General features: G+C 33.0%; 1 protein-coding gene across 19 annotated transcripts in view; it reads right to left on the bottom strand.

The window, feature by feature from the left end:
* The window catches only part of KIAA1328, a 403,046-nt gene that overhangs the window by 373,826 nt on the left and 13,541 nt on the right, over window positions 1–15,679 (bottom strand). For 16 of the 19 annotated variants that reach the window (NR_136303.3, NR_136304.2, NR_148565.2 and 13 more), the window contains one exon: window positions 14,045–14,139. The exons of the other annotated variants lie outside the window; for them this stretch is intronic. Coding sequence is in view for 12 of the 16 variants with exons in the window: in XM_047437678.1 (XP_047293634.1) it covers window positions 14,045–14,139 (95 nt within the window). In the remaining 4 variants the exon portion in view is untranslated. The remainder of the gene's footprint in view (window positions 1–14,044; window positions 14,140–15,679) is intronic. 19 annotated transcript variants of the gene reach the window in all.

Here is a 15,679-nt window from a genome sequence, read left to right as displayed (position 1 = left end):
ATACCATGCAAATGCTAATTTTAAAGAAAGCTGCCATGGATATATTAACATCAGAAAAAGCAGACTACAGGACAACTAATATTAGCAGGGATGAAGGGGGCATGTGATGATAAAATAGTCTATCAAGAAAATATAATAACTGTAAAAGTGTATTAATCTATTATCACAAGTTCAATGTAAGTGAAGCAAAAATGACAGAAATGAAAGGAGAAACAGACAAATCTACAAGTATAGCTGGAGATAATGGCATTCCTTTTTTGGTAATATGTATACCATATATAAAGAGAAAGAAAATCAGTATAAATATTGAAAACTTGAATAAAACTATCAATCAACTTGACTTAATTGGCAACCATAGACCACTATAAACAATGATAGAATAAACATTATTTTCAAAAGCACATGAAACATTTTTCAAAATTAAGTCATAGCCTAGCACCATAAAACAAGTTTCAATAAATATAGAAAGGCCAAAATCATATGGTCTCTGACCATAAAATAATTAAATTAGAAACCAATTTTTTAAAAAGTTTTCTGGAAAATCCCCAAGTATTTAAAAACACCACCATGGAGGGGTATCATTACAAAACATAGCAGAGTAGGGGGCTCCAAAAATTTCTCTTCACTGAAGTGACTGTTAAGCTGGCAAAAACTAACAAAATCAACTTTTTCAGAACTCTGAAAGCTAATCAAAACTCATAGTAACCAGGGGAGTTCTTAATGAGGAAAGAGGCTGGGAAATTTTGGTAAAAGGATGGTATGGTGCTTTCGCTTGTCCACTTACCATTCATCCCCCATTCCCCAGATCAATGGCGGCCGCCAGGATGATGGCTCAATCTTGGTGAGGCTTGCTGGTACTAATGGGACAATATGGACCTTGTTATCAAATATTTGTGGTTATTTATTTTGACCTGATAGACTGGCAGAGAGGCTTGCTTTTGTGTCAGCTCCTTCAGGCTAGAGCAGATTTCCAAGCATTGTCTGTCAAAATCACTTAAAGATGACATATACTACTCACAGATACCTGGCAAAAGAGACAGCAGGTGGGACAAGTAGATGGACTAAAAAGTTTAGGAAAGAGAAGAATAAAAAAGAACCTATTTGGTAAAATAAGGGCTTCGAGTGGCTTCCACATACACCAGGGAATCCAGAGTGTAATGCATATGCTGATAGCCATAGCCATGCTCAGAAAAGACCTTATAAAAGGTACATACCTCTGGCTGATCTTTAGGCTCAGTGCAAGCCTCCTTGCCTTAGCAGTGCAAGGAGGCTAAGGGAGAGTTGTAGACTAACTGGCTGAACGTTGAAGGAATACATCAGATTAGAGCCAATCTAAAATGACTGAGAGAGTATGTTTTTCTCTTTTTGGCTTCAGTGGTTCAAGGTCAAGTCACTGGCTGACATTGAAATAACAAAACAAAGACTTCAGAGACTACATGACAAGGAAGTCTTTGTAAAAATAGCCTGGAAAAGTCACTAAGCAAACAGGCAACAGCAGACCTCAACAAGCAACAACAGCAAACTCTGGGAAGCTGAAGGAAATCTAGATTTCCACAATTACCATATTATAACATTCAAGATGTTAGTTGTCAATAAAAACTATAAGGCATAGAAAGAAATAAGAATTTTTGACCCATTAATAGGAGAACAAGAAGTTAATAGAAAGCTACATTGAGATAGCTTACATATTGGATTTATCAGGCAAAGACTTGAAATCAACTGTCCTGAATACACTCAAAGAACTAAAAGAACTATGGTCAAGAAACTAAGGAAAACAACACCTGAACAAATAGAGAATATCAATAAAGAGAACAAAATTGTAAAAAGGAACCAACTAGAAATTCAGGACCTGAGAAGTATAATACTCAAAATTTAAAAATGACCAGAAGAGTTCAGCAGCAGATGTGAGAAGGCACAAGAAACAATCAGCAAACTTGAAGGTGGGACAATTGAAATTATTCAATCTAAGGAGCAGAAAGAAAAAGTGAAGAGAGTTTAATGGACCTGTGGAATGACATCGAGGGTATCAACATGCATATAATGGAAGTCACAAAGGAAGAAGAGAGAAAGAAAGGCAAAAAGGCATACCTGAAGAAATAATGTCCAAAAAACTTCCCAAATTAGATAAAAGACATGACTATACATCCAAAAATGTCAACAAACTCCAAGGAGGATAAAAAAAGAAATCCACACCAAAGCATATTATAATAAAACTGTCTAAAATCAGACAAGAGAAAATCTTAAAAACAACAAGAGGGAAATGATTCGTCATACACAAGGAATCTTCAATAAGATAGTCAATTCCTAATGAGAAACCATGAAGGCTGGAAGTGGCAGAATGACATATTTTAAATCCTGAAAGAAAAAAAAAATCCTGTTAACTAACAATCCAATATCTGGCAAAACTATCCTTCAAAAATGAAAGGAGAGCTGGGACAACTGGATATCTTCATGCAAAAGAAAGATAGTGGATGCCTCTATCACATTATATATAAAAATTAACTCAAAATGAATTAACTACTTCAATATAATAGTTAAAATATAATAGTTAAATAAATACTTAAATATAATAGTTAAAACAGAAGAAAACACAGGGATGTAAATCTTCATGACCTTGGATTTTGCAACAGATTCTTATATCTGACACTAGAAACACAAGCAACAAAATAAAAAATAAAGAATTTAGACTTAATCAAAATTCAAAACTTTTGTATTTCAAAGGACACCACCAAGAAACTGAAAAGAAAACCCAAAAGAATTGGCAGAAAATATCTGTAAGTCATATAATCTGATAAAAGTCTAGTAACCAAACATATAAAGAAACATTATAACTCAACAACAACAAACAATCCAATTAAAAAATGGAGAAAGGACTTGAACAGATATTTCTACAAGAGAGATTCACAAATGGACAACAAGCACATGAAAAGACCCTCAACATAAACAGTCATTAAACAAATACAAAACAAAACTGCAATAAGATATCATTTAAATCTAAGATAGCTATAATATAATAAGTGGAAAATAACAAGTGTTGGCAAGCATGTGAAGAGACCAGAATCCTTGTACATTGATGGTAGAAATATTAAAACACTCTGCAGCTGCAGAAAACATTTTCACAGCTCTTCACAAACTTCAACATAGAATTACCATGCAATCCAGCAATCCCATTCCTAGTTGTATACCCAAAGGAATTTGAAAACGTACTCAAAACAAATCCTTGTACATAAATGTTCATAACAGCACCATACACAATAGTCAAAAAGTGAAAACAAACAAAAAGGGCTATTAACAGATGAATAAATCAATAAATTGTGGTAAAACTTTACAATAGAATCTGATTTAGCATAAAAAGAAATGAAGTATTGCTACACATTACAACATAGATTCACCTTGAAAACATTGTGAAAGAAGCCAAACACAAAAGATCACACTATATAATTCCATTTATATAAAATATCAAGAATAGGTAATCAACAGAAACGGTAAACTGGGGTACCAGGGGCTGAAGAGAGGAGAAATAAATACCGTTTATTTATTAAATGAGTGTGAAGATTTTTTTGGAGGGATGAAAATGTTCTCAAACTAGATAAAGATTGTGGTTGCACAACACTGTGTATATACTAAATGCCACTGCCTTGTGTACTTAAAATGGATGATTTAACATTATGTGAACTTAACTCTCAAAATTTAAAAAAAGGTGGGGAGAATGGGAAAATTAAGATATTCCCAATGGAACAAAAGCTGAGTGAGTTCATCACTAGTAGACCCGTCCTACAACAAATGCTAACAAGGGTCCTTCAGGCTAAAATGAACAAATATTAAACAATAACTCACAGCCATCCAAAGAAATAAAGAAAACTGGTAAAGGTAACTAGATAAGTAAATACAAGAGTCAGTAGTATTGTATTTTTGATATGGAACTTCTTTTACTTTGAATATGATTTAAAAGACAACTTAAACAATAATTATCAATCCAAGTTAATGAGCACCATATTAATTCATTAGGGCTGCCTTAACAAAGTACCACAGACTGAGTAGCCTGAACAACTGAAACTTATTTCCTCCTATTTCTGGAGGCTAGAAGTCCAAGATCAAGGTGTCAGCAGGATTAGTTTCTTCTGAGGTCTCTCCCAGATGCCTGCCTTCTTGCTGTGTCCTCACATAGTCTTTCCACCGTATGCATGCATGTCTGTGTTCCAATCTACTCTTCTTATATAGGTAACCGTCATGTTGGATTAAGGCTCACCCATATGATCTCACTTAACCTTAATAACCACTTTTAAGGACCTGTCTCCAAACACAATCACCTTCTGAGATACTGAGGATTAACACTTCAACATATGAATTTAGGGAGGACACAATTCAGCCCATAAAAAGCACACAGTGGGCCGGGTGCAGTGGCTCACGCCTATAATCCCAGCACTTTGGGAGGCTGAGGTGGGTGAATCACCTGAGATCAGGAGTTCAAGACCAGCCTGGCTAACCTGGTGAAACCTCGTCTCTATTAAAAATACAAAAAAATTAGCTGGGCTTGGTGGCGGGCACCTGTAACAGCTACGCGGGAGGCTGACGCAGAAGAATCACTTGAACCCAGAAGACGGAGGTTGCAGTGAGCCAGGATTGTGCCATTGCACTCCAGCCTGGGCAACAGAGCAAGACTCTGTCAAAAAAATAAAAATAAAAAAAATAAAAAAAAGCACACAGTGTATAAAAATGTAACTAATGACAATAACAACATAGGATAGAAGATGCAGCTGTGTAGAGGCAGAGTTTTTAATGTGCCATTGAAGCTAAGTTGGTAAAAATTCAAATTAGAGTGTCACAAATTTACTATGTTAACTGTAAACCCCAGGGTAACCACTAAGAAAATAACTTTAAGAATATATAGAAAAAGAAATGAAGAGGGAATGAAAATGATACATTAGAAAAAAATCAAACAGAAATGACAGTACTATTGGGGTAACTGAGGAACAAATAAAGAAATGTCTTTTCATACACATATGCAAAATAGTCATTTCTTCTAAGTAATTACTTTAAATGTAAATGTGTTATACTCATCAAATAAAGGGTGGAGGTAAATCTTTAAAAGTCATAATCTAACTACAGGATCTTTAAAAATCATAATCTACAGGTTTATATTCCCCAGAAGATAATCACTTTAAATCAAAAGACACAAAGGTTGAAAGTTAAAAGGTGGAAAAATTTATTCCATTCAAGTAACATGCAAATATTAACCAAAAAACAGTTTAGTTTGCTATATTAATATCAAACAAATAGGCTTTAAAACAAAGAATGCTACAATAGGCAGAGAGAGTCAATTCCTCAAGAAGATACAAAAATTATAAAAATATACACCAAACAGCACCTCAAAATATATGAAAATATTAACATAGCTGAAGATAAAATAAACAGTTCTAGAATAATAGAGAATTAAATAACACACTTTCAATAACATATAGAACATCCAGACAGAAGAAGAATAAGAAAGTGTGGCAGACTGCCACAGTTACTACTTGAGACTGTCATTACAGCTGGTACTACTGTTACTGTTTGAGACTGCCATTACAGCAGTTACTACTGTTACTGCTTGAGACCGTCATTACTAGACTGAACATAGGGATGAACATAGAAATGATAACAAAAAACAAAAGAAACTGTTTTAAAGAAGGGTCCAGGGGAAGAAAAGAGCTCCCTGCTTCTAGTGAGCAAAGGTAGCCCCTGAGCTTCCACAGCCCTTCGTATTTATTGGGTAGCAACAGCAGGGAGGAGGAGGTAATGATTGGTCAGCTGCTTGATTGAACACAGGTTCATGTTATTGCTAACAGGCTTCAGATTTGCCTAATCACAAGAAACACTTGTGCCTAGGTCGTGACTGCCCTCAGCATTACTACTGGGCGACAGACGCAGTTTGTCAGTTTGCTAACATTCTGCCTTTATAAGAAACAGTTTTCTGTTTACTCACATAGCCTCCAGTGGTATACTGAGTTGATCATGACCCTCATTCTTTCAGCCTGTAACAAGAAAGGACTTGAACAACACAATAACCAGCTAAACCTAAAAGACATACACAGAACACTCAACCAAGTAACAGCTAAATACATATTATTCCCAAGTGCACATGGAACATTCTCCAGGATAAACCACATGTTAGGTCATAAAACAAGTCTCAATATATTTTAAAAGACTGAAAACATACAAAGTACCTTTTCCACCACAATAGAATAAAATTCTAAATCAAGAACAAAAGAAAAACCAAAAAAATGCACAAATATGTGGAAATTAACACACTTTTAAACAATCAATAAGTCAAAGAAGAAATCACAAAGAAAATTAGAAAGTATCTTGAAATGAATGAAAACAAAAACACAACATACCAAAACTGTGGGATGCAGCAAAAGCAGTGCTCAGAGGAAAATTTATAGCTATAAATTCCTACCTTAAATTAAAAAAGAGATCTCAAATCAGTAACTTAACTTTACACCTTAAGGAACTAGAAACCAAAAGCAAACTAAGTAAAAAGCCAGCAAAAGGAAGAAAATAAATATTAGAATAAAGACAGAGAACTAAAAAAAATACAATATATAAAAACAAAACTTGGTACTTTGAAAATATCAACAAAATTGACAAATTTTTAGCTAGGCTTATGAAGAAAATAAGAGATAATGTAAATAAAATTAGAAATAAAAGTGGAGACATTATTACTAACTTTACAGAAATAAAAAGTATTATAAGAGAATACTATGAACAATTGTATGTCAACAAATTAGATAACCTAGATAAAATGGACAAATTCCTAAAAAACAAAAAAAATTACCAAAACTGACTCAAGAGCAAACAGAAGATCTGAATGGACCTATACCAAGTAAAATGATTGAATCAGTAATCAAAATCTTCCCAACAAAGACAATCCAGGGACCAGATGGCTTCACTGATTAATTCTACCAAACACTTAGAATGAACAGCAATCCATCTCGAACACTTCCAAAAAACATAAGGGAAGGAAATACTTTCTAATTCATGTTATGAGGCCGGCATTACCTGATGCCAAAGCCAGATAAAGACACTATGAGAAAAGAAAACTACAGACAATATCCTTTATGAATACAGATTCAAAAATCCCCAACAAAATGCCAGCAAACCAAATCCAAAAGCATATTAAGTGATTTTATAACATAACCAATTGGTATTTATCTCAGGAATACAAGGATGATTCAACACAAGAAAATTAATCAATGTAATACAGCATATTAGCAGAAAAAAAACCACAAAAACATGACCATATCAATTGAGGCAGAAAAGCTTTTGACAAAATCTAAAGCCCTTTCATGACAAAAACACTCAAACTAAGAAAAGCATGAAAGTTCCTTAACATGGTAAAGGGCACTTATGAAAAACCCACAGCTAACATGTTACTCCACTGATGAAAAACTGAGAGTTTTCCCACTTAGATCAGGAAAAAGACAAATGCCTGCTTCTGCCACTCCACTAATCAATGTACTAGAAATTCTAGGCAGAGCACTAAGGCAAGGAAGAGAAATAATGAATGCTGGTGCAGTTCAACTCAGTCCTGCCTGGGACATGAATCATCCTTTGGCCAGCATATCCACACTGTATAGGCGTTAGTCATGTAGCATCCCTCTCAGTTATCAGATTGAGCTATGACAGTGCTTGTGGTTAAGTAACTCTTATTTTAGTAAATAATGGCTCCACAGCACAAGAGTAGTGATGCTGGCATATTGTTCTTATTGATCTATTTAATTATTAGTTATTGTTGTTAATCCCCTACTGTGCCTAACTTATAAATTGAACTTTATTATAGGTATGTAAGTATAGGAAAAAATATATATATAGGATTTGGTACTATCAGCAGTTTCAGGCATCCACTGAAGGTCTTGGAACATATTCCCTGATAAGGGAGACTACTGTATATAGAAAAGCCTAGAGAATCCTCAATAAATAAATAAATAAAACTATTACAGCTTATTAACAAATTCAGTAAAGTTTCAGAGTACAAGATCAACACACAATAGCTATTTGTGTTCCTCTACACTAGCAATGAACAATCTGAAAGGATACTAAGAAAACCATCTCATTTACAAAAGCATCAAAATGAATAAAATAAAAAAGGTAGATAATTTAGATTTCTCTACCTTTTCTTTTGTACTTCAAAGAATACCACTGAGAAAGTGAAAAAACAACGCACAGAATGGAAGACATATCTGTAAAGCATACATCTGATAATGATCTATCATCCAGAATATCTAAAAATCCAGTTATAATAACAAAAAAGAAAAACACCCCAATTTTATTTTAAATGGGCAAAAGATGTGAATAGACATTTCTTCAAAGAGGATATATACAAATGGCCAAAAAGCACATGAAAAGATTTTTCAGTATCATTAGCCACCGGGGAAATGTAAATCTAAACCACATGATACCACTGCATATCTACTAGCATGGCTATAATCCAAAAAATGGTGACAAGAATGTGGAGAAACTAGAATCCTTACACATTGACAGGAATGTAAGATGGTTTGGCTGTTGTAGAAAATAGTTTGGCATTTCCTCAAAAAGTTCAACGTGGAATTACCATAAGACTAAACAATTCAGCTCCTGGGTATGTACAAAATAACTGAAACACATGCTCAAACAAAACTTGTACTCAAATATTCATGTAGTTTAAATAGCCAAAAGATGGAGACAACCCAAATGTCCATCAAAGTATGAATGGATAAACAAAATGTGGCATATCCACACAATGAACTGTTACTCAGCCAACCTTGAAATTATTCTAATAGAAAGAAGGTGGACAGAATAGGCCCCATATTCTATAATTCCAGTTATATAGAATAACCAGAGTCAGCAAATCCTTAGAGACAGAAAACAGATTAGAAGCTGTCAGAGCCACAGGGAAACAAGAAAATGGGGAGTAACTGGTGAACAGATAGTTTCCTTTGGGATTATGAAAATGTTCTAGAACTAGAAAATGGTGATGGTTGTATAACACTGTGAGTATACTAAATGTCACTAATGATCAATTTATGTCATGTGTATTTTACCACATTAAAAACACACACATATTATTTTCACTTAAATGATGTGGTAAAATTCATGGCTATAGAAAGTAGAACAGTGGTTACCAGGGGCTGGTGAGAGGAGTAATGAGGAGTTGTTTAATGCACATTGCGTTTCACAGAAGATGAAAGAAGTTCTGAAGACTGGTTGCACGACAATGTGAATGTACTTACCACTACTGAACTGTACACTAAAAAACTGGTTAGAATAGTAAATTTTATGTATATCTTACTGTAATTTTAAAAATTAAATTAAAATATACTAAGATATTTCATGAAAACTACAAATATATTTAACAAAATAACAGGTAATCAATTCAACAGAGTAAAAATAAAAACAAAAAACAAAACATGACCAAATGAGGCTTAAGCCAGGAACACAAGGTAAATTAAACATTCAAAAATCAATCAATGTAGTTTACCTCATTAACGGAAAAAAGAATAAAAATCACATGTTCAGCAATAAAAGATAAAAAAAAATTGACAAATTCTACTCCAATTTATGACTAAAGATAAAAACTCTCAATAAACTAGAAACAAAAATAAATTTTCTCAATTTGATAAAGAACATCTATTAAAAAATGTACAGCTTACATTGTACATAATGGTGAAAGATTTAAGATCAAGAACAAGAAAAGGCAAAGACGTCCATTCACCACTTTCATTCAACATTGTACTGGAAGTACTACCCAATGCAAAAGGGCAAAAAAAAAAAAAAAAAAAAAAAAGCATCTATAGATTGGAAAGGAAAAAAGCAAAACTGTTTTTACTTGTAGATGACATCTTTTATGCACAAAATCCAAAGGATTCTACCAAAAAACGACTGTAACAAGCAAATTTTAAAAGGTTGAAGGATACCAAGCCAATATATGTTAAAAAAATCTATTTTTCAAATGAGCAATCAAAAAATTGAATATTGAATGTATAATAAAATTTCTAATAACACCACTTACAATAGTATAAAAGCCATAAAAAACTTCAAGATACATATAACAAAACCTATAACCTGAAAATGACATATCACTGCCTAGAAAAATTAAAGAAAATTTAAATACTTAATAGATAACTTTTTGTAAATTGAAAGACTCGATAATGTTAGTTTTCTTCAAATTGATCTGTATGTCCAATAAACTTCATCCAAAATTCCAGGAAACAATTTTCCTTTAGAAATTGACAAGCTGATTCTAAAATTTACAGTGAAATGCAAAGGACCTCAAAGAGTCAAAATAATTTTCAAAAATAAGAACAAAGCTAAAGGATTTACCTGATTTTAAGACAACATAAAATTAATCAAGTCAGTGCAGTGCTGGCATAAGGATAGACATATACATCAGCGAATGAAACAAAGAGTCTAGAAATAAACCATGCATGTATGTTCAATTGAGTGTGACAAGGAGGCTAAGGTAATTCTGTAGGAAGTCTTTTCTAACATAGAAAAACAACCTTTGCAATTTGTGATAGGCAGAATTTCATATATAGAGCACTAAAAGCCTGGACCACAAAAGGAAAAAATTGATAAACTGAACTTTGTCAAGATCCAAAATTTTATCAAAAGAAAGCATTAAGTTAATTATAAAGGAAGCTGCAGACTGAGAATAAAACGCATATTTGACAACTCATATACAGAATATATAAAGAACTCTAATACCTCAATATTAAGAAGAGAATGTGATGGGTAAAAAAAGGGGAAAAAGATTTGACAGACACTTCACTAAGGAAGAATGACACATTAGTCATGTTACTATAATGTGATTATCACACCAATAATCACATTAGTCACCGGTAAACACTAATTATTTCTACAAGGAGAAACCACTACACTCATTAGAAGGGCTAAAATTTAAAGAAATGACAATACCAAGAGTTGGTGAGTATACAGAATAATGGAACTCACATAAGTTGCTAGTGGAAATGTGAAATGGCACAATCACATTGGGAAGCGGTTGGGAAGTTTCTTACAAAGTTATAGACACACTTAACATATAATTGAGCATTTACTGAAGAAAAATAATTATGTTCATGCAAAAACTTGTGCATGAATGTTTGTGGAAGCTTCATTCATAAAAGGCAAAAACCTGAAGAACCCAAATGCCCATTAATAGAAGAAGAGATAAACAAATTGAAGTATGGGCCTATGATGAAATACTATTCAACAATAAAAAATGAGTACTCATACACAACAACTTGAAAACAACTAAAAACATTATGCTGTAAAATAAGCCAGATACAGAGGTCAAATATTGTATGATTTCACTTATATGAGTTACATAGATTAGTCAAATTTATAGAGACACACAGAAAAGTGATTACTAGGGGCAAGAGGGAAAGGAGAATGAGGAGGTATTATTGAATGGGTACAATTTCAGTTTGTGATAAAAAAAAGTTCTGGAGATGGATGGTAGAGATGGTTGCACAGCACTATGAATGTACTTAATGCCATTGAACTGTACACTTAAAAATGGTTATGATGGTAAATTTTATGTTAGGTGTACTTTACCACCCCCCATCCAAACCATTAGGTAGAGGGAAAAAAGACAGTAAAAGAGTATATACTGTGTGGCCATTTATATGTTGTGCCAGAATATGTAAAACTAAACTATAATAATGGAAACTATATTAATGGTTGCCTGGGATGGGGGAGAAAGGGGAAACAGACTGTAAAAGGTCTAGAGGAAACTATTTGGAGTAACATAAATGCTGTATATCATGAATAGGAAATCTTGTATATCTTATATTTGTCAAACCTCACTGAAATCTGCACTTAAAAACTGGTTCATGTTATTGCATGCAAATTGCACTTTGACATATTTATAAATAAACAGATTGATAAGCAAGCCAGTATGCTTGATAAAAAAATAAAATGCAACAGAATAGAAAATAATATAGACTATTCTTTCTAGAAAAAAGGTTATGTCTTGTAATGCAAAGAAGGTAGTGACAAGGGGGAAATATATAGTGAAAGGAGCATTTTTAAGATAAAAGAGACGTAAGTATACTTAACTATTTCAAACCAGATTGAAAATTCAGAGGGAAAAGAACATAAAAACTGGGAATGTTTTGTTGCCACTGCTTTATATGAGATTCTGTTCTCTACATTCCCACGTCAATCAAACAGTCTTGCAAATAAGAAAGCAAAGAAAACAGTTTCAAAGTATGAGTAGACAAAAGTAGACAAAGTAGACTGAAATATCCAGTAGAGGAAACTCAGCAAATTTTAAGAAATGAAGAACAAATGATTCCCATATACTTGTACGTTAATAGTAAATACAGTAATAATGGGGTTCTTTAGCAGTATATAAGCAGATTTTTACTAATACTGACATTGTACTAACACACTGACCTTCTATAAAGAAATTACAAAAAAAGAAAACCTAGCATATTTTGTAGGAAGTAGAGGGTTATTAAATACCAAAATGACATTGTTTTTCTATGTCAGAAAAGACTTCCTACAGAATTACCTTAGCCTCCTTGTCACACTCAATTGAACATACATGCATGGTTTATTTCTAGACTCTTTGTTTCATTCGCTGATGTATATGTCTATCCTTATGCCAGCACTGCACTGACTTGATTAATTTTATATCAAGTCATATATGTCACTTTTTCCCCTTTTTTTACCCATCACGTTCTCTTCTTAATATTGAGGTATTAGAGTTCTTTATATATTCTGTATATGAGTTGTCAAATATGCGTTTTATTCTCAGTCTGCAGCTTCCTTTATAATTAACTTAATGCTCTAATATTTCAGGTATTCTCCAAGCTTGGCAGCTCAAATGAAATGGGTCAGCAGGACAATAATGGCAACGTAGGACCATTAACAAACAGAGTCAAACAAATAGCAATAGCTTTTCAATACCATCAAAACATATTTAATAACTCCTCATCAAAGGACTTATTATGTAGTAATAGCCTCACAAGAACATCACCTTCAAATACTGAGGATAACAATGAAATGTTTTCCCAATAAAAGAACACTGAAATTAATGAAAACTCTACTTTAGAAAATAGGGCAGCCAAAGAATTCTAATAAAAGAGATTACTACTTATCTCAGGTAGCATATCAAATTCAGACTAAGGCGTGTACTTTGAATTCTCACACCCTGTATTCTGGCTCCCAAAACATCACTTTTTTATAGTCATCTTTGATACCCATGATTGTATGACTTAGAGTAAGGTAATTTTTTAACTTCAGTCTTTTTAAAAACCTCTACAAACTTTACTTTAAGGCTTCAACACAAAATTTGTTCAAAACATACCTAATATTGTTATCTTTATTTGCAATTCAGTGATAAAAAGTAGTACTATTTTATCAACTTTTATCAACTTTTAGGTATGGTCTCTCCGTAAATTTAACTTTTACAATTTATATTCATCTATTTCTCTATAGATACTTTCATTTATTAAGTACCTTTTAAGACCCCCAAAACTGGGCATGTATATTTGACAAAGAAATTACACATACAAAGTAGATGAGCCTCATATACATCACTAATAAACTGGAATAGTACTCCCAAACAGCTAAGTATCAAAATTCAAAATCCATCAATTGAAAAGCATTAGGAATTAGCAAGGCAATAATAGATATTCTTGTGAGTGAAATATTTTTTCTTCAGATGCTGAAGGAAAAATCAAAGGTAACTGCTACGCCTCTGATTACAACAATATCAACCTACTTCAACAGTAGTTTCTAAAACTTCCCTCAATAGATGACCGCTACAAATATTTGCATCAAACAATTGGGAAAGTTAAGTAAATAAGAAAATGTAAATTGGAAAGTAGTTTGCTTTTGATGCTTCTTTTTTAAGCTTTTTGAGAGGATTCTGACATCACAGAATGTCTTTTTTCCAAAACTCTTTGCTACCATAAGATCAAAGATATTAAGTCATCAAAATATATTTGCAATTTTCTGTTTTCAATAAGAGTTGTCTTTTGTATAATAAATCATTTCATATAAGGTTTTATCTCACCTGGCCAGTTCTTTAATTAAGTTTGCAATGCGTCTTTTGTCTTCAAGACATAAATCCTTCAATGATGCACTCTTTATTTCTCCCCTGCAGGAATTCTTAAAAAAAAAAAATTTAGTTACACTTTTTCTAAAACCAATTTTTAAAGTCTTTTCAAGAAACCTAGGTGCAAGGTGAAATTTCTTAGATATCTTTTCTCTGGTGCAACACTATCTACCTGTTTCAATTTAAACCTACTGTGAACTAAAAACAGGCTAAGGAACTGACTGTCCACTAGGACACTTCATGAGATTTACACAGAGAAGCAAACAGAAAGTAAAAGCAGATATCCCCTGCTTAAATACTGGGGTTTATTAGGAAAACAACTTTCCCTTTGTGAATGTCATAGAAACAAATACTCAACAGAAGATACTGAGAACTGTTATTACACCATAGTCCCCACGCTGCTTAAGGGTATACGAAGATTAGCAGCAGAGGCACCAGTTACTAAGCATTCAAAATATCCTAAGGTTCATCCCAAAGAGTACTAAACCAAAGAGTAATAATAGCAATAGCTAACAATTACATCTAGTGCTCACTTCATGCCAGGAATATTGTAAGCACTTTGTACTTACTATTCCATTTTATTTGCACAACAACGCTATTAAGTATTAATAGTTACTATTCCTATTCTACTTTAAGGGTACATATCCAGGATTATAGCAATTAAATAGCAGAATCAAGACTTAAACACAGGTTCCAGAGTCTGTGCTCTTTAAACACCATATTATTCTAATCTTTTGTGCTACAAAAACTTTTCCCCAGCACCTCAGCATCATTAGGAGGGGTCCTTAAAGACATAAACTCAGGGAGTCACGAAGGAATCGTAGGTAACATGTAAAAGGAAGGAGCTGTAATCCTTGGCATTTGCGCAACCACCAAAGTTAAGTTAGTCCAATTACCTCGGGTAGCCAAGAATAACTGAAAACACCTAAAGTGAATTCTGGAAATAGTAATAGCCGAAGGTGGGAAAGAGAGTAGGGAAAAAAATGGAGAAAAGAAGATGATAATAAAATAAGCTTTGGTTTTAGAAATGCTCAATGTAAGATGCCAGCAAACCATTCATGTGCAAACGTCTAGGCAGGAAGCTGGAAAGGTAGGTCTAGCTTTCAAACTAGAGAAAATCATAAAGATTTAAAAGTCAGTGTATGGTATTATGGATAATGTTAAGATTTTTTATTATTCTTTATACTTTTCTATGTTTTAAATTTTTCTTTAATAATTATGTATTTAAAATTAAGAAAAAATATTAGTATTTTAAAAATCATCTACAAGTCCAGGAAAATTGGCATTTGATTTTAATTTCAATTTAAGTAATTGGATTTTAGTTTAATTTAAAGTGGCATTTGAAAGGACAAGTGGAGAATCAGAAGCATATAACATTGTAGGAGAAAACAAGAAAGAAAAAGTTTCAAGAATAGTGTGGGTTCAACAGTGCTAATGATTAAAAAAGACAAATAGACTGGGGGAAGAAGGCAATGGATTTGGCAATGGAGGAAGTTGCTGATAACCCATGAAAAGACATTTCATTAGTGATGTGCTGAGTAAAAGAACAAAAGAGAAATCTTTGTAACTAGGCAAAAAAAAAAAAATAAATAA

The sequence above is a fragment of the Homo sapiens genome, chromosome 18 (genome assembly GCF_000001405.40).
Source record: "Homo sapiens chromosome 18, GRCh38.p14 Primary Assembly".
NCBI classification, from domain to species: domain Eukaryota; kingdom Metazoa; phylum Chordata; class Mammalia; order Primates; family Hominidae; genus Homo; species Homo sapiens.
Note: the sequence above shows the minus strand (reverse complement) of the source record. Positions and strands in the feature narration are given on the sequence as shown.